Source organism: Homo sapiens, chromosome 9 (assembly GCF_000001405.40).
Source record: "Homo sapiens chromosome 9, GRCh38.p14 Primary Assembly".
Classification (NCBI taxonomy): Eukaryota; Metazoa; Chordata; class Mammalia; order Primates; family Hominidae; genus Homo; species Homo sapiens.
This window is the reverse complement of record NC_000009.12, coordinates 94,757,268-94,783,368: the sequence shown is the minus strand read 5'-3', so window position 1 is coordinate 94,783,368 and position 26,101 is coordinate 94,757,268. Positions and strand designations below refer to the sequence as shown.

General features: G+C 40.7%; 1 protein-coding gene across 51 annotated transcripts in view; it reads right to left on the bottom strand.

Moving 5' to 3' along the window:
- AOPEP (aminopeptidase O (putative)) overlaps positions 1-26,101 on the bottom strand; it is a 423,526-nt gene that overhangs the window by 366,856 nt on the left and 30,569 nt on the right. For 37 of the 51 annotated variants that reach the window (NR_169862.1, NR_169863.2, NR_169864.1 and 34 more), the window contains exons 2-3: positions 22,789-23,720; positions 10,201-10,367 (exon numbers count right to left, since the gene is read on the bottom strand). The exons of 1 other annotated variant lie outside the window; for it this stretch is intronic. Coding sequence is in view for 38 of the 50 variants with exons in the window: in XM_011519121.4 (XP_011517423.1) it covers positions 10,201-10,367; positions 22,789-23,585 (964 nt within the window). In the remaining 12 variants the exon portion in view is untranslated. Of the gene's footprint in view, positions 1-10,200; positions 10,368-22,788; positions 23,721-24,278; positions 24,460-26,101 lie in introns of those variants that run through there. 13 more of the 51 variants (NR_169865.1, NR_169866.1, XM_017015234.3 and 10 more) reach the window with 4 other exon arrangements.

Genomic DNA, 26,101 nt, shown 5'->3' with positions numbered 1-26,101 from the left:
GCCACCACTTTGCAAGCACTGATGCTACCCAGCAAGGCTTCGGTTTTCCTTGCCTGCAACATGGTACCGCCTCAGGCACAGGAGAGGCAAGAGAGAATGACCTTCAAGATCATTCTTGTGAACTAGGTAAAAGAGCGCCATCTGCTGAACACAAGCGCCTCTATAGGTTTTCCTTGTTGGCTAACGGGATACCTAAAGGAATATGCCCCACCAGGCTTGTTATTCAAGTCTCACCGGCCACTCTGACCTTCAATGCAGGTGACCCAGTTCCCCTTAAGCTGGATCAGCTAACTGGACACCAAATCATACTGCTCCAGGTGGTCACAGGTAAACTTGAGTGCTTTACTCACATGGAACATTCATGAATGTCAAGTCCAAGACAAAAATCCACAGCAATGAGAACTGGTATATACATGCCTGCCAGAATCATCAATGTCTGAAAGAAACCATGATGACTTTCACATATGTCGTGTACAGTAAGCGCAGTGCCAGGAGGGTAAGCAAGAACTAGTCAACAACAAATCACAAAACAAAAGAATTAACTGACACAGATTTAGAAATTACTGGCTCACCGGCATCTTTCTAATGGGAAAAGATTAATACGTTTACCCTTAAAAACATAGGAATGTATGTGTACTGGCGTGGAATAAAGTTTCCCTAGTTCTAGAAACAAGGAGCTTTCTCTACTTTGCATTCTTTCTTTGTGAGGAAAATACTTAATCATAACCATTCCTAAATGCCTCTTAATTTACCATTTCCTCATACGTAATTCCTGGTTGCATACTATGGGAGCAGTCTAAATAGTACTGCTCATTTGAAAAGTTGGCTTTCAGTTGCACACAGGAGGGTCTGGACTCTCAGATCTTGGCTTTTTCCTGGAATTTCCCACACAAAGTCAAAAGAAAGAGAATGTCAGAGAGCTAGTCTATTGGGCAGGCCAGAGAGTAGCATTTTGCCCAGAATGAAGTAATGTCTACAGTCTTACTTTTGCACTAAAAAATGAAATCAGATCCTATGCAAGGGCACATGTAGTTTTTAACACCTTTCACTTGTTCATATGCTTTTTCTCCTTCATCTGGAAGGAGCTTCCATTAGGCAGTCTTCTTCATTTACTTGAGGCTTCCCACAAAAAACAGAAGCAGAGTATTTTCTTTTTCTTTTTTTGTTTCTTTTTTTTTTGAGACGGAGTCTCACTCTGTCGCCCAGGCTGGAGTGCAGTGGCACGATCTTGGCTCACTGCAACCTCCGCCTCCCGGGTTCAAGCAATTCTCCTGCCTCAGCCCAAGTAGCTGGGATTACACGCGCCTGCCACCACGCCCGGCTAATTTTTTTTGTATTTTTAGTAGAGACGGCATTTCACTGTGTTAGGCAGGATGGTCTCGATCTCCTGACCTCGTGATCCGCCCGCCTCGGCCTCCCAAAGTGCTGGGATTACAGGTGTGAGCCATGGCACCCAGCCCTCAGAGTATTTTATTTTTCTAGGAAGCAGGGATATACTAAATTAGACTCTATAAAAATAAAACTTTCACGCCTATAATCCCAGCACTTTGGGAGGCCAAGGCGGGCGGATCACAAGATCACGAGATAGAGACCATCCTGGCTAACACGGTGAAACCCCGTCTCTGCTAAAAATACAAAAAATTAGCCAGGCGTGGTGGCGGGTGCCTGTAGTCCCAGCTACTCGGGAGGCTGAGGCAGGAGAATGGCGTAAACCTGGGAGGCAGAGCTTGCAGTGAGCGGAGATCGTGCCACTGCACTCCAGCCTGGGCGACAGAATGAGACTCTGTCTCAAAAAAATTAATTAATTAAAAAAAAAAAAAACTAAACAAAAAATTACTAGAAGAAAATAATAATGTACTAAACCAATTCTTTTTAAAATTTATTGAGGCTGGAAAAAAGGCATAAACTGTAATTAAGCAACAAAAGCAAAAGAAATGACCCTGAAGTCGATTTTGTTACTATCACTAGTAGTTTTAAATGTTTCTTCCATGAACATACTACTTCTGCCTGATTATAAAGAACACATTTATTCCACAAATGCATATTGGGCACTTATTCTATACAAGGCACTGTATTAGGCATTGGGTCTCTGCGCTCAATAGTTTAGCTATATTTTGGTAGAGAATATAGGCCAACAATAAGCCACAGGATAACATCTCTGTCTGCCCAAATCACATTATGCTGAGGAAGTTTAATAATAAAGGAGAATAATAAAAGAGCCAAGCAAGTTAATCTAAATCTATGGCCTTGTCTTAGCCTTCTTTAAAAAAAAAAAAAGAATAACAACTGCTCAGCTAATAGAATTCTTACAATGGTCATCACCCTACATCCAAACCATTACCCTTCATTTTAAAAACAGTTAGGAGAAATGATTTCCCTTATGAAGCAAGGACCCAGAGATCTGTCTTCTGATTTCTGTTCCCTGCCCAAGGGCTGCTGTCATTTCTGTTGCTGTTATCTGCTCCCAGGTGCCTTGCTTCTGTGGAAAAATCAGCTGGTGCCCGGGAAATGTGCTAATCAGGCCTATGTGTCACTGTGATGGAAACTGTGACTTGCTGGGTCGCGCTTTGCCAGTCATGTTTTCAAAGATAGCTCATCGTTTTAAAGGGCATTCTGCACAACAGAGTAGAGGTCCTATGAGACCAATCTGCCAATCGAGAAAACATGACTTAGAAAGGAAATAGCATCATCTTGTATCCACATCCCCTTTCTCTAAGGAGTGCAGATACATTTGTAGACATTATTCCATCCTCAGAACAGCCATTTTGGTTCTGGCAAACAGCTTTATTAGTACTGTTTCCTGATTGTCCTCTGATAAACCCTGTCTGTGGGAGGAATTGCAGTATTAAGCATAGAGTTCTTTTATCTTGTCTAGCTTAATTCTCCCTCAGCTTGAACTGGCAAAGATTGTTCTGTGATATCATATAAGGTGTAAGTGGTGTGAACGTAAGTAAATCTCAATAAGCATCTATTTTATTACTCTGTCCTCAACTGGAATTTGGGGAAAAAAAAAGGTCCACAGATATATTCCTGGGGTTATAAAAGTTTTTCATATTTAAAGTTAATTCTCAATTTTTTGATAATAATCTTCAAATAGATACACAACAACAGACAGACAGATGAATATGACAGAGGTCAGAAAACTTTTTTCTGTAAAAGACCAGGTAACAAATATTTTAGGCTTTGCAGGACCTTGTTGCCAATACTCAACTCTGCTGTTGTAACATGAAGGCAGTCAAAGACAATGGCCATGATCCAATAAAACTTTATTTACAAAAACAGGCAGTGGACTAGATTTAGCCAGCAGGCCATAGTTTTCTGACCCCTAAAATCATCCAGATGTGAGTACTGCCAAATGATTTCAGAGTTCCCATCTGTATTAGTGTATATGATTGCATGGGGACGTGTAGGACTGCGATAATTATCAAGAGATAATGAGAAAAGAACATAAGGATGATGCTTTTGGCTGAGTAAAGGCCAAACGATATCACAGCATGCTGTGTAAACAAAAGTTTACAGGGAGATGAAAGACAAGTGGTGGAGAACTGGATTATTTTGTGGCTCAGGGTAGAACAGGTGTTCAGTCTCAAAAGAAACTGCATGGAGCCGTCAGCACCATATTCATATTGTAAGGGGCAATTTCATCTCAGCAAAATATTAATATTTATATTCAATTTATATTTATATATTTATATCAATATAAAATTCAAATTATAAATTATAAATTTGAATTTTATTGATTTGCTAGTTTGATCTGCATTTCATTTATAATTTTATTTTGGCTTTACGGATGTGTAAGAGTTGTAAGAACACAGAGTTCATATCTAGTCTTAGATCTATAGTTTTTGAAATGTCATTCTAATATAAATAATTTAGGTCAACTGTGGTAAATCATGAGACCTTTCCCTCTAAAAAGAAGAATAATGCTCAAGTTTGGGAAACATTGTCAAACACAAGGCTTTACTGCAGGGCCAAACCATGAATGAGAAAATATGTAGGCTTGGTGAGGTGAGGGTGGGGAGAGCCACATGGCATCTTGGGAGGTGGAGTTATCACAAGCACACTGCTATAGGCAGAAATGTGAGTAGGCCACCTATCAGTGCCTATCTGAAATTGCAGTGTTTCATATACTCAATCAATTCAGCAAGTCAGGGAACCAAACAGAGACAACAGAGAAAAAGCCTATGTGAGTCTAGCAGAACCTGACTGGACAATTGCCAGCAAGACACTAGAGCCCAGATAAAGAAGCTGCGTGTATCTGCCAACCCCTTTAATCCAGTCAAGTTGACACCTAAAATTAACCACCGCACATATACAATAAATGTGTACTTTTTTTTTTTTTTAGACAGTATCATTCTGTCACCCACGCTGAAGTGCAGTGGTGTGATCTCAGCTCACTGCAACCTCTGCCTCCCTGGTTCAAGCAATTCTCTTGCCTCAGCCTCCTGAGTAAATGGGATTACAGCCGTGTACCACCACGCCCAGCTAATTTTTTTGTATTTTTGTAGAGACGGGGTTTCACTATGTTGCCCAGGCTGGTCTTGAACTCCTGGCCTCAAGTGATCCGCCCATCTTGGCCTCTCAAAGTGTTGGGATTACAGGTGTGAGCCACCACGCCTGGCCATAAATGTGTACATCTTAAATGTGTTGTTCAATGAGATTTCACAGATAAACACACTTACATAATCATTACCCCCATGAACATTTCCATTACCCCAGAAATTCCGCTGTACCCTTGCACTCATTTCTTCCTAACCCCATTCCAGCCAACCACTGATCTGGTTTCCATCAGTACAGACTGGTTTGACTTCTTCTCAAAATTCATATAAAAAGGGTCATTCAGTGTGACTCTATTTTACTCAGCATAATGTTTGTGAGATTCATCCATATTGTTGCAGGTGTCACTAGCTATTTTTTTTTTTTTTGATTTATCAGTAGTGGTCCATTGTGTGAATAAACCATAATTTGTTTATCCATCTACAGTTAGACTGTTTTTGGTCATTATGGAAAATGTGCTGTGAACAATCAGGTATTAATCGTTTTGTGGACGTAGGTTTTCATTTCTCTTGGGTAAATACTCAAGAGTAAAATTGCTAGATCGTGTAAATATATGTTTAAGTTTGTGAGTATCTGCCAAACTATTTCCAAAGTGGTTGCATTCTTTCATACTCTCACCAGCAATGTATGAGAGTTCTAGTTGTGGCTTATCCTTGGAAACACTTGGTATTTTCTGTCCTTTTAATTTTAGCCCTCTAACTAGGTGTAAAATACTATCTCATTATGGTTTTAATTTGCATTTCCCTGATGACGATGTTGAGCACCTTTTCATTTACTTTGCACATTCTTATATCTTCTTTTGAAAAGCATCTGTTCATGTCATTTGCTCATTTTCTTTCATGTGGGGTTTTTTATTGTTTTATTATTAGGTTATAAGAATACTTTATAGGCCAGGCACGGTGGCTCACACCTGTAATCCCAGCACTTTGGGAGGCCGAGGCAGGTGGATCACTGAAGGTCAGGAGTTCAAGACCAGCCTGGTAAACATGGTGAAACCCTGTCTCTACTAAGAATACAAAAATTAGCTGGGCATGGTGGTGCATGCCTGTAATCCCAGCTGCTCGGTGAGAGAATCGCTTGAGCCCGGGAAGCAGAGGTTGCAGTGAGCTGAGATCGCGCCACTGTACTCCAGCCTGGACAATAGAATGAGACACTGTCTCAAAAAAAAAAAAAAAAAAAAAAAAAAGATTATATAATTCTAGGTACAAGCCTTTTGCCAGATATATGTATTACAAATACATCCGGTATATGTGGCTTGCCTTTTCATTTTTATTTACACTTCGTCCTACTGATTTTCCATAGTGACATTTTTGTTCCTAATTTCAGCAGTAGAGATTTACATTATGTTATTTTAACATTAGTTTTCTTTTTTTTTTTTTTGAGATGGAGTCTCGCTCTGTCGCCCAGACTGGAGTGCAGTGGCACGATCTCAGCTCACTGCAAGCTCCGCCTCCCGGGTTCACGCCATTCTCCTGCCTCAGCCTCCGGAGTAGCTGGGACTACGGGCACCCACCACCACGCCCGGCTAATTTTTTGTATTTTTAGTAGAGACTGGGTTTCACCGTGTTAGCCAGGATGGTCTCAATCTCCTGACCTCATGATCCGTCCCTCGGCCTCCCGAAGTGCTGGGATTACAGGCGTGAGCCACCCCGCCCAGCCTTAACATTAGTTTTCTGTCAATCATTCAAATGAATGTCAATCATTCATTTTAAAAAATTTTCCTTCAAGAATGTTATACTTCAGTTAATAGGGCTGCTACAAATAAAAATATTAAAAAAAAGAATGTTATACCTAGCCAAGGATTGTTCATAAGTGAATACAACAAAAAGCCAATCTAAATATGGGAGGGCTCAGAAAATGTACCATTCATCCAGTCTTCTAAAAAAAAAAAAAAAATGAAGCTATTTCCCAGCCAACTTAAGAGCTCAAGAATGAAGAAAGTCTAAATACTTATTATGAAATCATTTGAAACTGAATGAAAATACAATAATAGTAATTCCTAGAAAATACATAATACAAAAAGTTATAGAGAAAATGTGAGTCCCAAATCCCAAGTTTTATTAAGTAAAACTGGAGAATATGGGTGCGGAAGGATAATGGAGTAAATACCCATCCAATTCCTTATTTGATATGAATTCCAGAGATATTGGTTAACTAAATTGTAAAACATCCATTTATAGGATACTCATAGCCATAACATAATGAGGAAAGGTCGGGCGCAGTGGCTCATGCCTGTAATCTTAGCACTTTGGGAGGCCGAGGCGAGTGGACTGCCTTAGCTCAGGAGTTCGAGCCCAGCCTGGGCAACACAGTGAAACCCCATCTCTACTAAAATACAAAACATTAGCCAGGCATGGCGGCGTGCGCCTGTAGTCCCAGCTACTCGGGAGGCTGAGGCAGGAGAAATGCTTGAACCCGGAAAGCAGAGGTTGCAGTGAGCCGAGATCACGCCACTGCACTCCAGCCTGGTGACAGAGCAAGACTCCGTCTCCAAAAAACAAATAATAATAATAAATAAATAATGAGGATACTCTTTACGCTCTGTTACAAAATATCTATAAAATAAATTTATTCTAAAAGGGAAAGCACAATACAAAAATGTGTCTAGCATGCTACAATTTGTACAACAAAAGAGAAAAAACATATTATTCAAGAGAAATTGGTAACCTTGGTTGCCTGGGGAAGTGTTACTGGATGTCTGGGAAATAGAGGTAAGAAAAACACGTTATTGCACATAATGCTTTGTCCTTTGTTCTTCTATAAATGAACCACGTAAATGTTACTTATTTTTAAATATAAAAATTTTATTTTATTTATTTATTTATTTATTTTTGAGATGGAGTCTCACTCTGTCACCCAGGCTGGAGTGCAGTGGCGTGATCTCGGCTCACTGCAAGCCCCGGATTCACACCATTCTCCCGCCTCAGCCTCCCGAGTAGCTGGGATTACAGGCGCCCGCCACCACGCCTGACTAATTTTTTGTTTGTTTGTTTATATTTTTAGTAGAGATGGGGTTTCACCGTGTTAGCCAGAATGGTCTCGATCTCCTGATATCATGATCCGCCCACCTGGGCCTCCAAAAGTGCTGGGATTACAGGCGTGAGCCACTGTCCCAGCCTAAATGTGTTGTTTTTAAGAATCAAGTAAGGCTGGGCGCAGTGGCTCACACCTGTAATTGCAGCACTTTGGGAGGCTTAGGCGGGCAGATCACGAGGTCAAGAGATCAAGACCATCCTGGCCAACATGGTGAAACCCTGTCTCTACTAAAAATACAAAAATTAGTTGGGCATGGTGGTGTATGCCTGTAGTCCCAGCTACTGGGGAGGCCGAGACAGAATCGCCTGAACCCGGGAGGCAGAGGTTGCAGTGAGCAGAGATCGCGCCATTGCACTCCAGCCTGGCGACAGAGCAAGACTCTGTCTCAAAAAAAAAAAAAAATCAAGTAAATACTCATCGGTGACTTCAGTACATACGTTAATCTAGCTTATGATAAAGACATCACAAAATTTAAAAATTCAATAAATGATCCTGAAGCAACTGGTTTTCTATTTGAAAAAAAAAGACAATGTTTAGTCCTCATTTCACAACCTGATGAGAATAAATTACAGACTGATTAAAGAGTTATAAAAATTAAACTATAAAAATATCAGAACAAAATGAATCTTAGAGAAATCTAATAAATTTAACTTCATAAAAAGACACATCATATAAAATTAAAAGATATACCAAAAGCTGGGAGCAATGCTTTTCATAAATATAAGAAATTAATATCTTTTTTTAAAGAGCCAATAAAATTGAAAAATAAGACAAATGGCAAAAATCTAGGTCTTCAGTATAAAAAATGGGCAAAGGAAATAAACAGAAAATGAAAATGGTTAAGAAACATATAAGGACATGTGAAACTCACTAATCATCAAAGTAATCCAATTAAAGAGAGACCTGCTGCTGCCTATCAGATGAGCAAAGTTCCAGGTGACAAGGACCCTCATAACTACAGATGAATGTATAAATTGGCACAGCCTTTCTGGAAAACATTATGGGATATGTACCAACAACCTTAAACATGTTCCAACTTTTGACTCAGTAATTCTAATTTTATATAAAATGTCTCCCCTGGAATTTAATGCAACTTTATTTATAACAGGAAAAAAACTGAAATAATCAAAATATTTAATATAGAAATGTTAAATTCTGATATATTCAGATAAAAAATATTGTGCCAATGTTAAAATCATATTAAAAATATTTAACGACCTGTAAATTGTTCAAGATACACTATAAGTGAAAAAGGCAGAATAAACACCATCATATGCTATCACAATTTGAGGATGATAACTGCACAAAACATATAGATTTTAAATACTGAAAGGAAATGTAACAAAATCTTAGCGATAATTTTCTCTATAATTTTTTTAATTTATTTTTAGTTTTCTGTATATTTTAAAGTTTCTATAATAAATATGTGGAAGGAGATGCCCTTTTTTTTTTTTTTTTTTTTTTGAGATGGAGTCTCACTCTGTCGCCCAGGCTGGAGTGCAGTGGCGCCATCTCAGCTCACTGCAAGCTCCATCTCCCAGGTTCACGCCATTCTCCTGCCTCAGCCTCCCGAGTAGCTGGGACGACAGGCAACCGCCCCCACGCCCGGCTAATTTTTTGTATTTTTAGTAGAGACGAGATTTCACCGTGTTAGCCAGGATGGTCTCAAAGGAGATGCCATATTTTAAATAAAGAAATAATATAACTATAAAAATGTTTCCTGGCCAGGCACAGTGGCTCACACCTTTGGGAGGCTGAGGTAGACAGATCACTTGAACCTGGGCATTCAAGACCAGCCTGGGCAACATGGCAAAATCTCATGTCTACAAAAAAAGTGCAAAAATTAGCTGGGCGTGGTAGCATGCACTTGTAGTTCCACCTACTTGGCAGGATGAGGTGGGAGGATCAATTGAGGCTGGCAGGTCAAGGCCACGGTGAGCCGTTATCAAGCCATTGCACTCCAGCCCGGGCAACAGAGCGAGACCCTGTCTCTCAAATAAACAAATTTTTTCCTGGCATCAACATGCTCAGGATCTCCACTGAAAAAGTTAAATGCTGCAATAAGAAGTAATTCATAGATAAAACCTTGATGATGCATTAGCACTGCCTTCCATCTTTCTTATACACCTTTGGTTCAGAACTTTACACAGGCAAACCATGTGTAGAAAAGATGCTTCATTAAGACAACTCCAGTGGGCCAGCCAACAAGAGCACTATCTCTTAACATAATGAATAACCATGTACAGACACCATAACAAATCACAGACAACTCAACTCTAATGGTGTTTCCATGGTACACCTGCCTGTTCAGAACGTCTTCAGTCAAGACCACCTACTTATGGCCTACAAACCACCAGGTGAAAGCAACTGCTGAAATAGTCTATGAACCGACAACTCTAGTATGAAGAGCCCCAAATCCCATGCCCAGGCTCCTAAGTGTCCCTCCCCATCCCCTGCTTGTTTTCCCTGGCAGGATGTTTTATACTATGATCATTTCCAACCCAACTAATAAAGGAGCTCTTTAAAGTTTAGAAAAATACTGTTTATTGGGTTCCTGGGTCCACATGTGTGCAATACATAAATAAGCAAAGAACACATGTACAGTACCTTCCCAAAGCTGCGTTGGTTTGGCAGAATTTTCCCCACTCATTAAAACAACAAAAGATGCAGCTGCTCGAACTGTAGCCTGCCATGTTGACATGGCAACGGGTGGCTCCTGGCATGGAAAAAGGGCCCTGTTGTTTATGGGAGATCCCACAGTATAAACACATGGCCTGCAGAAGAGAGACAAAGAAAGAAAGGGGGTGAATCTTTAAAATGAGTTGTCACTTTTCTCACCAGTATGGTAGTGCAGGTTAAGTTGAGCTTTCAAAGAAAACATTTGAAACTTTGTAGTTGACTGGTTTCCTAGCATTTTGAACTGAAGCTGCCAAGGGCTGGCTATGTGAATAGCTGAGTGGTTACTTCTCTCAGATGAATTACTTAAATATGTAAAAAGAGTTGGTTTATTTAAGGAGAAAAATATTTTTTGGATAAAGTTTTAAATACTAATCGGCCAAGTTATATTACCCTTGCCCCCTCCCCTCAGGCCCTGGTGCCTTCAAAAGAAAATTTTTAGAGACATTCTTACAAATCTTTTGGAAAGTATTCTGGAAAAGAAAATATGTTTGGAGATCACTGAGATATTAATGCTTGGAAAAACAAGCTGGTGGTCTCAAATCCAGGGCTGGCAGGCAGATACCCCCAATCTTGGAAGCCACCATCTCAAATAGAACCCTTGTGGGAATCCTTGTGTGGAGGCCAAGAACAGGGGCTGGCATATGAACAGGACTGTGGGTCACAACAACCAGGCTTGTGATGGGAAAGCCAAGGGCGCAGAGTCGTTACCAAGTCACCATGTGCAAAACCAATGACACAGCATTAGGACTCATTCTGCTGCGATTAGAAAGTACAGCCCTACCCAAACCAAGAAAGATCTGTCCCATGATAAAGTCATGGTTGACAAAGATAAAGATTCTCAAGATCAAAGGGTCCACTCTTGACACCAGAGTAGAAGGAACAAGACTGACTCCTCATAAAAAACTCAGGAGAATGTTTCTACTTTCTGTTTTTCAGTTATGACAAATGACAAATATGTAGTTTTAGTCAGCTTGACTTATAAAGTAAATGAATAGAGCAAAGCACTACTTCTTTTGGATAAACTCATTTTCTTTTTTCATTAACATCATTATAATTGAGCATTTATTGTGTTCACACAGTGTGCGAGAAAACACAGAAAGATGGTTCAACTCCATCAGTCAGGGTCTAGTATGGAAAAGAGAAACCAGTCTAGGTCTTAACAAACAGGTAATTTAAACTCGGGAATGAGTTTAAATGATAGAAGAGCGGAGAGACCAATCAGAGGACAGTAAGACAACCCAGGGATTAGCCACAGCAGTAATCAGCTGTGACTCCTCATATTGGAGGAGCTGGGTGATTACTGGGTTATGAGGCAGGAGTCATCTGGCAGAAGCCAGAGTCACAGTGGGGACTGTCCAGGGGGAGCTGGGACCACAGGAGACTCAACCACACTGAAGGGGCCAAAGGAAAACAGGAGGAGGAGAAATACGTTACAGAAGTAACGTATTTCTAGCCAGCTCCTGCTTTCAAATCTTCCACCAGTGGCCCCCACTGGCCAAACCTAGCAGGAAGCCAGAAGACAAGAGAGCCTAGGAAATGAAGTTCCTTGTCACTTGGAGAAGATCACAATAAGAGCAGAAAATGGATCTCAGCGCAAACAGGCAGTTGCTGTACGCTTATCCTACAAGTATACATGCCATGATAATGTGAAGGTTTGACATGGGGCAGGGAAAGATCAGAAAGTCTAAACACCTTTGTACCACCTGGGTTGCCAACTTACCAAATGACTGTGGGGAAGCTCCTCAACTTCTGAGTCACGGGTGAAATGGGTATTGGGCTGGTGAAGCGGGGAGCAGGTAGTGACTTCTATTGTCTGTTCTGTTCAATAAGCACCTAATTTGCATAGGGTAACTCTGTGTTATGGGTCTTCCCTTGCCTGCACAGGGAAGAAATCCTCCCCAAAAGACTGGCTTACCAAGATGTTGGTCTCCTCTCTATAAGGCTGGGTTGGAGGCCATGCTAGCATATTATTACACATTCCACTTGTGCCCTTAGGTATGTGGCCCCCAAGGCTGCCTCCATCAGCTTCCATACCACTTCCCCAAAGAAACAATCGGATTTGAGATGAGGTCAAATCTGAGAAATACTGTGCAGGAAGAATCAGGACTTAGTAAGTGATGTGCTGAAGAAGAGGGAGAAGGAAAGGAAGACTTCTGTGAAGTAGCCAGCTGCTGAGCTGGCCTCCAATATTTACAACCCCTTACTCCTAATATTTACATCGTTGTGTAGTCCCCTTCCATACTGTACCAGATCTGTGTGCCCAAACAGACCTGTGTAGAGCAAACAGGCAGTTGCAGTACACTTATTCTACAAGTATACAGGCCGTGATAATGCAAAGGTTTGACCTGGGACAGGGATGCAACAGGATACAGCAGAGGTGACGGCATGTCACTTCTGAGACTATTTTAAAATCTGTGGTTTTTATCTTAGACTATCTTTTCTCACTCTCTCTCCCATCATTTACTCTGGGCCATGAGTGTCATGAAGTCACTCAGGCAGCCTAGGGAGGCACCCACATGGTAAGAAACAGAGACCTTTGGCCAACAGTCAGTGAGGAACCAAAGCCTGCAACAGCCACGCGAGTGAGTCTGAAAGAGGATTTTCCAGCTCCTGGCACACCTTGAGACACCTGCAGCCCCGGCCAACAGCTGGACTGTAACCTTGCAAGATATTTTGAGCAAGAGACACCGGCTAAGCTGCTCCTAGATTCCCGAGCCTCAGAAACTGTGAGAGGTAATAAATGTTTGTTCTTTTAAACTGCTAAGTGTGGGGGTAATTTGTTGTGCAGCCATAGTTAACACAGACTTTTCTGAGGTTTCTGGCTCAAGTGATAAGATGGATGGCAAAGCTACTGAACAAGAAAGGAAGAACAGGATGGGTCCAGGGAGAAAGGTGGAGGGCATGCACCTGTTTAATTTGCTTATAAAGGGCTTTACATAAGCACATGACAGACGACACTTTTATGGACACAGAAAGGATGTTTTCCTAATCCCAGTGTGGTGTCCATGAATGGGTTCAAATGTCTGAAATCAGACCTGCCTCAGAAAATGTGAAAATGATGATTTGATGAAGTAGGACGCATAGATATTGTAGGCATATTTGAGTCAGTCGATGGGGGGCTGGTCCTTCCACCAACTGGATTAAAATCCACCATGTTGTCACCATCCTTTCCTTCCCAGTTCAGTATTATGTCCTCTTTAGCTATCTAGTTCTAGACATTTTGTTCTAGAATTTTGTCCTGATCCCTTCTGTCACGCTCTTGAAAGCTCTTTCTGCCATTGTGCATCTGGGCACCTGACCTCTTCCATCAAGGGGGTCAGTTACCTGGCCAGGCCCCCAGCAAGCTCTCACCTCCACCCTCCCCAGTGTGCTTACAATTCTCTATTCCCACCCTCCTCTTTCCATGGCTGGGTTATCTTTTCTGCTAAAGTCTAACATTTTTTTAGCTTCCACTTGGTATCCAGAGCTATAACTCTGAACATGTAGATCAAGTTAGCAATCTAAAAGCCACACCCCATTAATATACCCATGTCTGATAGGAGACTCAATCACATTCTTACTGAAATCCTTTCAAAAGCAGGAAAACAATCACATAAGAGGGAGGTCTTAGGGTAGGCACACCTTGAAAATGTAAATTATCTTTGTGCTCCCAGCCTATTCTTTTCTTGGCCTTTTTCTCTTCATCAGCTGCAGGCTCACTCTTCCCTTCCCAACATGCCCAAACCAAGCGCTAGGGAGTTAAGAGTCTTTATAACCAATGGCTTTTTGCTGTTTCACAAGCTGATATCCTATGCATGTCTGACATCACAGTGCAAACCTGAAATCAGTCTACAGTTGGGTAGCTACATTTTAGCAGTGTGAAGGTTTTATCCTCTGAATAAAGCTCTACTGGTGGAATCTTGGTCATCTACCAGCAAATTTAGGATGGGTGAACATGGGGCCTTCCCAGAGTCATGAAATCATACCCACTACATAGTGACTCCAGACTAAAGATGGCCCCCATCATGCACACATTCAAATGAGAACTATATGGAGGGCCAATTCCCTGCTTACCCATCCATGCCTTCCCCTCCACAGAAGGCAGGAAAATCTATGTGTGTTTATAATGAATGTGTAAACATAGAAATAAATGCAGCTGTGTTTATCTGACATGCACAGCCTTGCACCTCGGCCATGTTGCTAAAATGCTCATAGGATAGACGTGCAGGCAGCAGCCTGAAATTCTCCAATGCTTGTAACTTCATTATTTCTAGATCGAGTAATTCCTTCCAACATGCAAAGGAAAACTCTCTCACCAGGGTTCATCTCACATGCCCTGGAATACCCAATTGTATGGAAGACTCCTTGGGGAGCCCAGATTAACTGCACAGGAGTTGTGGGAATGAGAGGACAATGAAAATCAGAAAGAAGAGAAAAACAGGGTAGGACAGGGTGAGACACAGGTCCACGGCTTGCTGCCATTAAAGAACTTCTAAATTGAGGAAGAACTTGTCAGAATAACAATCACTTCAGCTTCTGGCTAAATGTTTGTGCATTTGCAGAGTGGTCAAATGAGGATGAGACATACTAACTCTGCCTTTCAAGGTAAGAGGTCAGCTAGGACTAACGTGTTTGCTAGTCTTCCTAAGGAGGAGCTACGCAACCAAACGTGTAAGGGATTGCTTAAAACCATATATTTTCTTTTTCTTCCGTTGACTGCTATACGCATTTGTCTTTTCGCAGCCAGGAGAAAAAGGGGTTTTTTTTTGTTTAAAAATGTTTTAAGTTCCACTACAGTCCATCAAGTCACCCTTTTTCTGAGACCTGGTTACTACTGTTAGGTGACTGGGGAGAAGGCTGCCAGAAGTAGGTTGGAGGTAATGAGCCCACAGTGGCCCCATGTGTGGCTTGATGAGGCCCTGACCTGATCTCTGGGGAGGGTGGGCCACAGATGCGACAGTTTAGGGGGTCAGAATCTTTTATAAGTTTCCAAGGGTTACAAGGTCTTCAGGCCTCCTCCAATTCCTTTCCATCTGTTCTTCTTTCTGCACTAATCTTTTTTATAACTCCACGTTCTCATTAAACCTAGATTACAGTCTCCATTATACGTGAGCAACCCTCTTGCTTTCTTGTGCCACAAAGAACCAGAACTACTAAAAGAAGTGTTTAGCAATGACTCACTCTCTCTCCTATACACACACATGCACCTCTTCCTTATTATTATTCTACTTTTCTACTTCCGGGCACAATTACCAAAACCAGAATTCATCAATCATACTGAATACATGGCAGGTCCAGGGAGAATGCTGCTTTGACTCAGAAAGATAGATTTTACGTAAAGTCAAAACGGACAAGGCTGCAAATGGCTTTGAGTCAGAAATTCATCACTTCTTCACCAGAGATGTTTTGGGTGCAAAACAGGCAAGCTGCTTGTAAAGGCAAAGACAGTTATTTCTCATCTGGAAGTGCTTGTGGGTATAGGATTGTGTACATGGAAAAAATCTGGAGATGCTCTCATGGAATCTTCTCGTTTTACAGATGAGGAAATGAAGAGACCTAAGATGACTATCTGAAGTCACACAGCTAGTTACCACACAGCTCTCACTAGTACTAGGTCTCTTGGCTTCCACCATCCAGGTTCTTTTGAACACACTATGCTCTTGGTGATACGGGGCACTGCGATTTGTTATTTTCTGTAGATGCTTTGTTACTTATTTCTCATTCGGTTGGTTATGTTGGTTACTTGTTGAGACTGATACAGTCCATCCTTGTATTTTCTTCCATGGTGACTCAACTGGGATTCTGGGAAATAGACATATGCACAGCCTGGGCAGCAAAGAGAGAAAGAAGCTAAAACACGACCCTTCCAAGCATTTTCACTCATGATTCCGACTCTGCAGTCATACAATATCATAGAATTAATGTGTATTCCACTTTAGTTCTCATAAATTTTGCATTGGTTTCTTGAAGAAAGTAAGGGGAAAAAAAGGTGCTAATTGTGGAAATGTTCCTCTTAGACCTGAAATCTCTCCCAAAACATCTTCTGCTCATTCTTTTAATTTTAAAACTTTCCTTTAGAGTGAGATATAAAATAATGAAATTAATTCAGTGGGGGGAGGGGGGAGGAAGAACATGTTTTAACATCTGGTTTTGATACTCCAAACTAAAAATACTCCCAAAGTCTACATCTTCCCTGGCCCAATAGCTGAGCAAGAAATATTACAGAAAAAAGTAGTTCTCCTTAGGATTTTGCTAACTTCATCCCAGTCTTGTCTAAAACAAACAAACAAAAAAATCACAATGTTTTACAAAAGTTTAAATGTTAATATTACTTTATCTTATAATGTATTTTCCCAGTTAGCTCTCTTATCTTTAACAAAAATCCAAATAGCTATAGTTTTTCTAATAAATTTCCTATACATAACCGAATTTTCCTCCATTCAATTCAAATTCAGTGATGTCATCAGCTTAAGCTCAGACCTCCTAAACCACTTGACTGCTTCCACAACTATTATAATGATTCTAACGAAAAAGAGAATGGGTTATCAAAGAGAATGCTTCAGTTTGTTTTGTTTTGTTTTGAGATGGAGTCTCGCTCTGTCGCCCAGGCTGGAGTGCAGTGGCGCGATCTCAGCTCACTGCAAGCTCCGCCTCCTGGGTTCACGCCATTCCCCTGCCTCAGCCTCCCAAGTAGCTGGGACAACGGGCGCCCGCCACCACGCCCGGCTAATTTTTTGTATTTTAGTAGAGACGGGGTTTCACCTCATCAGCCAGGATGGTCTCGATCTCCTGACCTTGTGATTCACCCGCCTCGGCCTCCCAAAGTGCTGGGATTACACGCGTGAGCCGCTGCACCGGGCCAATGCTTCAGTTTTAAATAACGTTTTCTTCAGGGGAATAGAAAAAATGTTAAAAATACAAGGAAAATGAAGAAAACACATCAACTTTGAATAAAGGTTTCCATTTTAAAAGTTTATTTCTTACGTATACCAAAGATCTAGAATTAAAAACATATTAAGTCCCATTCCTTTCTTGAAGCTTGGCAAGAACACCTTTACACAACTCTTGACCCTGTCTTTGTTCTCATCAAAATATTTTTAAAGGGCACACAGACCCGCGTACCACAGAAAAGCAAACATCTTTTCCAAGAAGCACATTGTATCTGATTGTTATATATGTATTCCTTCCATCAGTCATTTTAAATGTCACCTACAATCCAGTATCTGAATGATACAGGCAAGAAGCATTTAGGTTCAACAACTGGCACAACTCCCAAATGGCTAAACTAAGGTAGGAAAATTGAGTTTTCTATTTCCAGATATTTCATATTAGAAGTAGAATAATAATGATAAAATTATTGGTAATCATTCATAATAAATACTCCTTTACAGCTTCAAATATGTTTTCTTCTCCAGAGAACCCTGCCACATGGTAAAGTGGGAAAACAGCTCTTACAAAAGAGATTTCAGGGTAGAAATCTCCAAATTTGAAGTTATCTTTTTAATAATTTTTTTTCAAGACGGGGTCTCACTCTGTCGCCCAGGCTGGAGTGCAGTGGCACAAACATGACCCACTGCAGCCTCGACCTCCCTGGGCTCAAGTAATACTCCCACCTCAGCCTCCCAAGTAGCTGTGACTTATTATTATTATTATTATTATTATTATTATTATTATTATTTTTGTAGAGAAGGGGTTTCACCATGTTGCCCAGGCTGGTCTTGAACTCCTCAACTCAAGCTATCCTCCTGCCTCTGTCTTCCAAAGTGCTAGAATTATAGGCATGAGCCACCACATCTGGCATATATTTTTTTATATTAAAACAGTTTTAGATTTTAAAAATTGAAAAGATAAGGCTGGGCGCAGTCAGTGGCTCATGCCTATAATCCCAGCACTTTGGGAGGCTGAGGTGGGAGGAATGCTTGGGCCCAGGAGTTCGAGACCAGCCTGGGCAACATAGCAAAACCCTGTCTCTACAAAAAAATACAAAAATTAGCTGGGCGTGGTGCTGCACACCTGTAGTCCCAGCTACTTGGAAGGCTGAGGTGGAAGGATCGTTTCAGCCAAGGAGATTGAGACTACAAATATATTTTCTTCTCCAGAGAACCCTGCCACATGGTAAAGTGAGAAAACAGCTCTTACAAAAGAGATTTCAGGGTAGAAAGAACTTGGTGAGCCAAGTTCATGCCACTGCTCTCCACCCTGGGTGACAGAGTGAGACCCTGTCTTATAAAATAATAATAAAATAAAAACTAAAAATAAAAATCACAAAGATAATATACAGAGTTTCCATATACTCCATACTCAGCTTTCCCTATTACTGGCATCTTATATTAGTATGCTTGTCACAAGGAGTGAACCAATACTGATACATTTACACACTTCATTCAGCTTTCTTTAGTTTTTCCTCAATGTCTTTTTTCTGTTTCAGGATACTACATTACTTTTATTTTATTTATTTTATTTTATTTTTGAGACACAGTCACGCTCTATCACCCAGGCTGGAGTGCAGTAGCACAAAGACAACTGACTGCAGCCTTGACCTTCTGGGCTCAAGTGATCCTCCCACCTCAGCCTCCCAAGTGGCTGGGACTACAGGTGCCTGCCACCATGCCCAGCTAACTTTTTGTATTTTTAGTAAAGATGGGGTTTCGCCATGTTGGCCAGGCTGGTCTCGAACTCCTGGCCTCAAGTGATCTGCCCACCTCGGCCTCCCAAAGTGCTAGGATTACAGGTGTGAGCCACTGCACCCGGCCAGGACACCACATTGCTTTTAATCATCATGTCTCCTCAGGCTCCTCTTGACTGTGGCAGTTTCTTAGACTTTACGCTGACCTTATTCGTTTTCAGAAGTGCTGATCAGGTATTGTGTTTAATGTCCCTTGACTGGGATGTATCTGATGCTTTTCTCATGATTAGATTGGAGTTAAGAGCTTTTGCGAGGAAGACCACAAAGATGCCATTTTCATCATATCATACCAGAGAATAAACTATCCCCATAAATTATCACTATTGATATTGACCTTGATCATCTTGCTGAGGTAGTATTGTCAGATTTCTCTAGTGTAAAGTTACTTCTTTCTCCCTTTCCATTCTGTTCTCTTCGGCAGGGAGTCACTGACTGTATAGTCCACACTTAAGGAGTGAGGAGTTATGCCCCACCTCCTTGAGGACAGAACATGTCCACAACTAACTTGGAATTGTTTTGCACCATGGATTTGTCTATTCTTCCTCATTTGTTTATTTATTCAATCGTTTATTCACATCAGCTGGACTAATGGCTATTTCATACTTTTGGATGTCATTCGAAACTACTTGATATGTTTTGTTGCTTGGCTTGGGGCATGAGGAGCTCTTTCGGACGGCCCCTTGTCCCTCTGGCATACCCCCATCGCTGTGGGTTGTTGTTCCTGCTGTTTGAGGGCTTCCTTACTTTCTGACATTACAAGATGCTCCAGACTCATCTTGTATATTTCCTGCCCCTGTTCTGGACATTTCTCCAAGAAGTCCTAGTTCTCTTCATTGGAAAATGGTATCAGAAACTAAGATCTGGGTGCTAGGTGTGCTTACTTCTAAGACCCTCTCAGCTGACAAGCCAAGATACAGTGTGTGTATACACAAACACACACACACACACTAACCCTTGGAAACACACATATCTGTAATTATTTCCATATGCAACCATCCATATCAATATTAAGCTATTTCATTTTGATACAAGTTTTATTCTCAGCTGGGATACAGTACAGGTGGGAAATGGGGAAGCCACTAATGGAACTTAAAAGAAAAGGTACCAATTTACAGATTTTCTTATATTTGTCTAATTTAAAAAAAGAAATTTATTGAAAGCTAACATAATAAATTTATGTTTTAAATATACTTGAAAGCTTTGCATACAGTAAGTGACGTGAAGATCAAATTCAAAAAAAGTCATTCTCTTTCTCACTTGAGATACAGATTTATCTAGAAGCTTCCAGTCATTTTATTTTCTTACCTGTAAAATGAGAATAAAGAGCTTCTCATCCCAGCCTGAGAACTTAGAGCGGGTATAACTGATAATATTCTGCAATTCAGGAACAAATATGTAGAAACTATTTTAGTTTTAATAAATGTAGACAGACTCTGTCCCGTGGAGGAATAAGCTCTAGCTAGTTATGTTTTTCACGCAACTGTAAAATTTTATATTTTCACACAATTATATTCATAAAGTATTGTGATCCTGATAATTACTATTCATTTATATCACTAAGAAGTTATTTCTGTCTAGCAACTGGCATTCTTTACTCATTTTAAAGTCCTTAACATATCCAAACAGTTACCAGTACATCCTAAGATTTATTCTGCAGCGCAAGGGAGAGTTGAGAGAGACCTGGTGCTCATTCACAATTGACTGTAAATAAAACTCCCCACCCCAGAAAAAGGGAAAAAAAGAGAAAACACCTTTCTAGAATTTGTTTTTTAAAATAATTTTTCTTATCCTCAGAAGACTGCACAAATGGCATTAATATACTAACACATATTCCCAAACTTCCAAGGATACAGTTTAAACATCTTCTGTGATCATATATATTTACTGAATTATCAGAAAATGAGATATCAAGACTAAATTTATCATTTGAAGGAGCAAAATGTGCCCAAGGACCTCTTTAATTTCTTTTTTTTTTTTTTCTTTTTGAGACGGAGTCTCACTCTGTCGCCCAGGCTGGAGTGCAGTGGCACGATCTTGGCTCACTGCAAGCTCTGCCTCCCGGGTTCACGCCATTCTCCTGCCTCAGCCTCCCGAATGGCTGGGACTACAGGCGCCCACCACCATGCCCAGCTAATTTTTTGTATTTTTAGTAGAGACAGGGTTTCACCGTGTTAGCCAGGATGGTCTCGATCTCCTGACCTTGTGATCCACCCGCCTCAGCCTCCCAAAGTGCTGGGATTACAGGCGTGAGCCACCGCGCCTGGCCCTCTTTAATTTCTTCATAGAAACCATCATTTATCTGTAAGTACTCATCACTTTTACATGTCATTTAATTCACCAGTCTAATCTCTTTGTTTGCAGTAAGCACTCAGGAGAAAGTCATGTTTGAGGCCATAAATATTTCTTCCAAATTCTGCCAATAGTTCCTTCTTCCTCATTATTCTAGTTCAAAACTGAAATATCTAGGAGTATAAAAACTATAATTTCCTAGTTAAATATTCAGATAGTATATTGTTATATTGTATTGAAATTCCCATCTTTAATAATCTCAAAAAAGTGTGAAGATACAATAAGAACACCCGTTTCATTCTTTCACAGTCTCCAAAAACTATCTAATAAGGTATTCTATAAATAAATCACTACGCTTTTGTACTGAGGTAAGTTTGCACCAACCCTGCAATTTCACAATGGCTGCCTCAGACTCTAACAGAAATAAGACAGGAAGTGAACTCATTCTGAGCAGGGTGAGAGACCAGAACAGAAGGTAAGATTAGAGGCAAGGAATGAATAATTAGAGCTCAAAGTCAAAGTGAGGCTTTAAAAAACTATAGCTGCAAGGTGTTTTGGGGGATGAATTGAGGGAGACATGTAAGCAATTGCCGAAGACCACTGCTTCAATTAAGGAAATACAACGCTATAAAAGAAGGCTCCCAAACCCAGCTAACAGAGGTCAACGTTCCTCCATCCAAGCTCTGCAATAATTACCATATTGATTTGCAGTACTTTAGCACAAATAGGTAAAATACGGAGGAATCAATAAAGTTTGATTTTAAAATTCTCAAATTTAAAAAAATCTGAACAACTGTTGGAGGAAAGACAATAAGAAAAAGATTTTTAAAAATCTGAACAATTGTTAGAGCAAGGTCTGCCTAAATGTATCCTCTAGAAAACGACACCTCCATCAATTCCTTCTCCTCGAACGAAAACCCAGCGGTCTTTCTGGTACCAAATACCAAGAATCACAGCCAAAGAAGCCAGTGTGCAGTCTCAGAGGACTGTTATGCTGCTCAGAAACAGGTCTTTTGTATGCTTTGGGGGGGGTCACGTTACATGAAAACTGACAAAAGTCAGGGAGGCATAGCTGCCAATAGACAAGTACGGTAAGGAAGGCACAAAGCAGAGCTGGCTTTATTTGAAAGCACTTTGCCAGGCTTCACACCAACCCAGCTTCATGGCAGTCTGGTCTCTCAAGGGACTATGAAGGAACGTTAAGCAAGTATTCACTCGGAGACGTATCACTCCCATCTACAGCACTCCAAGTCACCAGCAGAGATCTCAATGGAGAGCGAGGCTCAGGATTTCATCATTAAGCATGGCTTTCAATCTCTTAACTCAGAAATAGGGAGGGCTTAATAATCTTTTCATCCTGACTTAAGGGAGCTAATCCTATTAAGGGTTTAGCATGCCTGGGAATTTACCTGCTTCACTGTAGGTCTAAGGATTTGAGGCTACTTGGGTAATGTCACAGAAGACACAGGAGCATCTCTGCAGAGCCGGTCTCATGTTTGAAAGCATCCCCGCAGCGTACAAGATTAACAGGCACAGGGCTTTGAAGTGCTTGGATAACCTACCTGCCACTCTGGTCTGAGGTCCATGTAACCGATCGCCCTTCAGGTTTAGTTTTGTACCATATCCTGATAGCATGAGGAAAGTCAGTAGCTGTCTGAGCCCCTGTCTTCCTTATCTGCAAGCTCCAAGTGTCAGTGTCAAAGAGGAGTTCCCCACAGCCAGGAGCCTGGCTGCAGCGAGCGTAATAGTCTAACTGCTCCCTCCAACGATTTGCAGGCAAAGTCACAAGTTCACGTACAATCTGATTCCTGAACTCCTCAGAAACAACCGTGAGCTCAGGAGACCTTGTAAATTTTTCCAGACCTGGCACAGCAGCAACATCCACCTCCTCGACTTTTAACACAGATAAATCACAGCAGTCCAACACTAGCAAAAAATCCTCACTCCCATGATTCCCTGTGTCACAGCAGTACTTTGAGCTAGAAATCCCAGAAGCATGTTCCTGGTTGTCATGGTTACCATCTTTATCAGAAGTATCTTTTTCACCTTTACTACAGATTGCAAAATCATTATATTCCATTTCAGATGAGAAGGTCCTTGCATTTGTCACGGGAATATGGCAGGGTTCAGGCATCCCAAATTTGCAGGCTTTGTTTGATTCTGATTGGCAGGCTTCCTCAATAGAGCTATTCTGTTTCTTGAATCTGTTTCCATCCTCGAGGAAAAGCACTATGGTCCCCTCAATGACTTGACTTTCAAAATCCACATCCAAATCCAGTACATAGTGCTTCACAAGTATGTGGCTGGTGTTGGCCATGAGAGGCAGGTCATCTCTGGCAGGGTCCAGCTGTATGTCCATGATGTGGTTTATTGTTTGAGGGATTTATTAAAATCTCAGATGGGGTTTCCTATCTGCCTTAATCTTCCAGAATCATAAATAGCTGCTTATCAAAGAAAACAACTGATGTCACAAATTATGGTTCCTTTCAGTCTCCTGGCAAAAAAGGAAAGCACAATTAGATAAAATTCCAAATAAGACCTAAGTGCTCCTGCAACTGCTGCTCCTGCAAGTTGACCACCATCCTTAAATAATCCCCCAAGCGGTAGATGCTCATGGCTAGAAGGCTGACTTATCTTTTCTACTGACATGAAAGAAAGCTGCATTATGGGTTTCTAAAAATATTTCAATTACCAACTGGATGGCATGGGCCTCCACAAAGCCAGAAGAAGCACGCTCCAATGAGAACTGTCCTTCTTTTAGAAAACAGCAAGTGTTATGCAAAAGTGTAACCCAGCATCACTGTGCCTCTAGTCTTAAAAGATATTAAATGTATCCCTTCTAATTTTGTGCATCAAAAGATAAGTGATTGTTTTTCCACTGTGATTCCAAGTAACAAGTGTGAATGAAGGCTAAATGGCCCCACACATTTTATTCCTTGAGAGTAATAATTTAATACATACAATGTAACTCCAGGGATTAATGTACTTTTCACATTAGGACTGCTCTCATATCAGCACTTCCAGTAAATTACAGGAAAATGAGCCAATTTACCAGGAGTGCATTCTAAGTATTCCTTTGAGATTGTTCACGGAGATTTTTCAAATTTATAGTTAAATACTCAAGGTATATCATTACATCTTAATAGCTGAAAACCCATTAACATTCTGGATAATAGCCTTCTTGTGGCAAACAAAAGGTCTTCTCACTTGAAAAAAAAAAGGCAGGCAAATACCTATAAAAGGAAGGAGAGAAATTAAAATGTAGAAACAGATGTTACAATAAAATGCACAAGTTCTTCATAAAAGTTCTGAATCAAAATATATTCTTATTGTATACTAGCAATCTGGCTAAAAGAAAAATTATTTGAAATTATTTCAGTCCCCGTTGTGTACCTAGTTTCTTTCAGCATATGCTGTTCTTTTTTTATTCTTTTACCAAAATCAAAAAAGAAATGGCAGGAGAACAGAAAGAAAAACTCTGACAGAGCAGATATGTTTAAAATAATTTTCGTATTTCTAAATATCAGGAGGCATTCTTTCAACAACTGCAAAACATCATTACTTGCTTGAATTTTCAAGTAAATCAAGCCCTCCCTTTGTATCCTAACTCCTCCTCACTTCCCTGCCAGCTTTATCTGCATCTCTACTAGACCCTTTTATTTCCTTTCCTTCTAGAATCTCATTCTAGGTTAATATCCCATTGATTTCAGTTTCTACCTCTCTCCACAGACTATTTCCTCTTCAAAATCTCACCTAACCTTAAAAAATCCTGCCTCCTGCAGCCTTGTACAATCCAGTTTCTAGCTACTTTTCCAGTCATGGAGACAACATTCCCTTGCATCCTTGTCCTCTAGCCAAAGGGCCTACTCAAAACACTGCTTCCTGAAGAGGACTTGACTCTAGGCCTCAGTGCCTTTTGGACTAACCCATGTGCTAGACCTGGAGCGCTCCTGGCTCCTGCCTTCCACCTCCACCTGCCAAATCCTATTCTTCCTCCATGTCCCAGTTTAAGTGCAACCACCTCCTAAAACCCTTCCCTGGTCCTTGCTCCCTCCCCCACTGAACTATATGTAGCACACTTTCAGTGCAATAGAAGTAGAGAGAAACAAGGTTGCAAAGAACAGTTTGAATTTACTTTATGGAGAAGCTGGTATTTCCCTTGGTTCTAGAAAAGTGAATGAGCACAGGGGATAAGCCAGAGTATTTTCTGTCCTGTCATTTTGAATAATAACCTTCGATAAATCCATTGGCTATTTCTATGTAATCAGAAACAGTGATCTTAAAACTTCATTCTGATGGTGGCTGTGGCTGCTAACATACAGTATTTTGTTGACTGGGCATCTTTGAAAAAACTTGTTTGATTAAAAAAAAGCCCTGAACACACACATGCTCACACACACACAGAAGGAAAACCAGCATCAGCTGAGACAAGGGTCAATTTAGTGGCTGGCTAAACTATTATATTCAGAGAAAAAGTTTAGTATTTTTAACATTATAGATATAATTATTTATTGTCTAACTCTAACAGATTCCTAAATTCACTTCTAAAAATCTGTATAATTTAGGCATAAAATATATTCTACAGAGCAGTTGTCACCACTTTTGTTTCTGGTGGCAGAGAATGAGGCTGCCCTAGAGCCCTATCCACTCAAGCCTGTTAGCAGAACCACTGTTATGAAAAGCCATGGCTGGCTTTCCAGTGGCTAACCACTGCCGCCTCTAAAATCAGTGTACTACGTGGTATGTGTTTTAAGTGATGAAACGTTTGTCACCCTGACTGACAATCCATTGGTTCTCTTTAGTGGATTCTTTCGCATACTCTCCACAGAGGCAATTCTAAAACTTTTAACTTTCCAATTCCAAGCTTGCTGACTC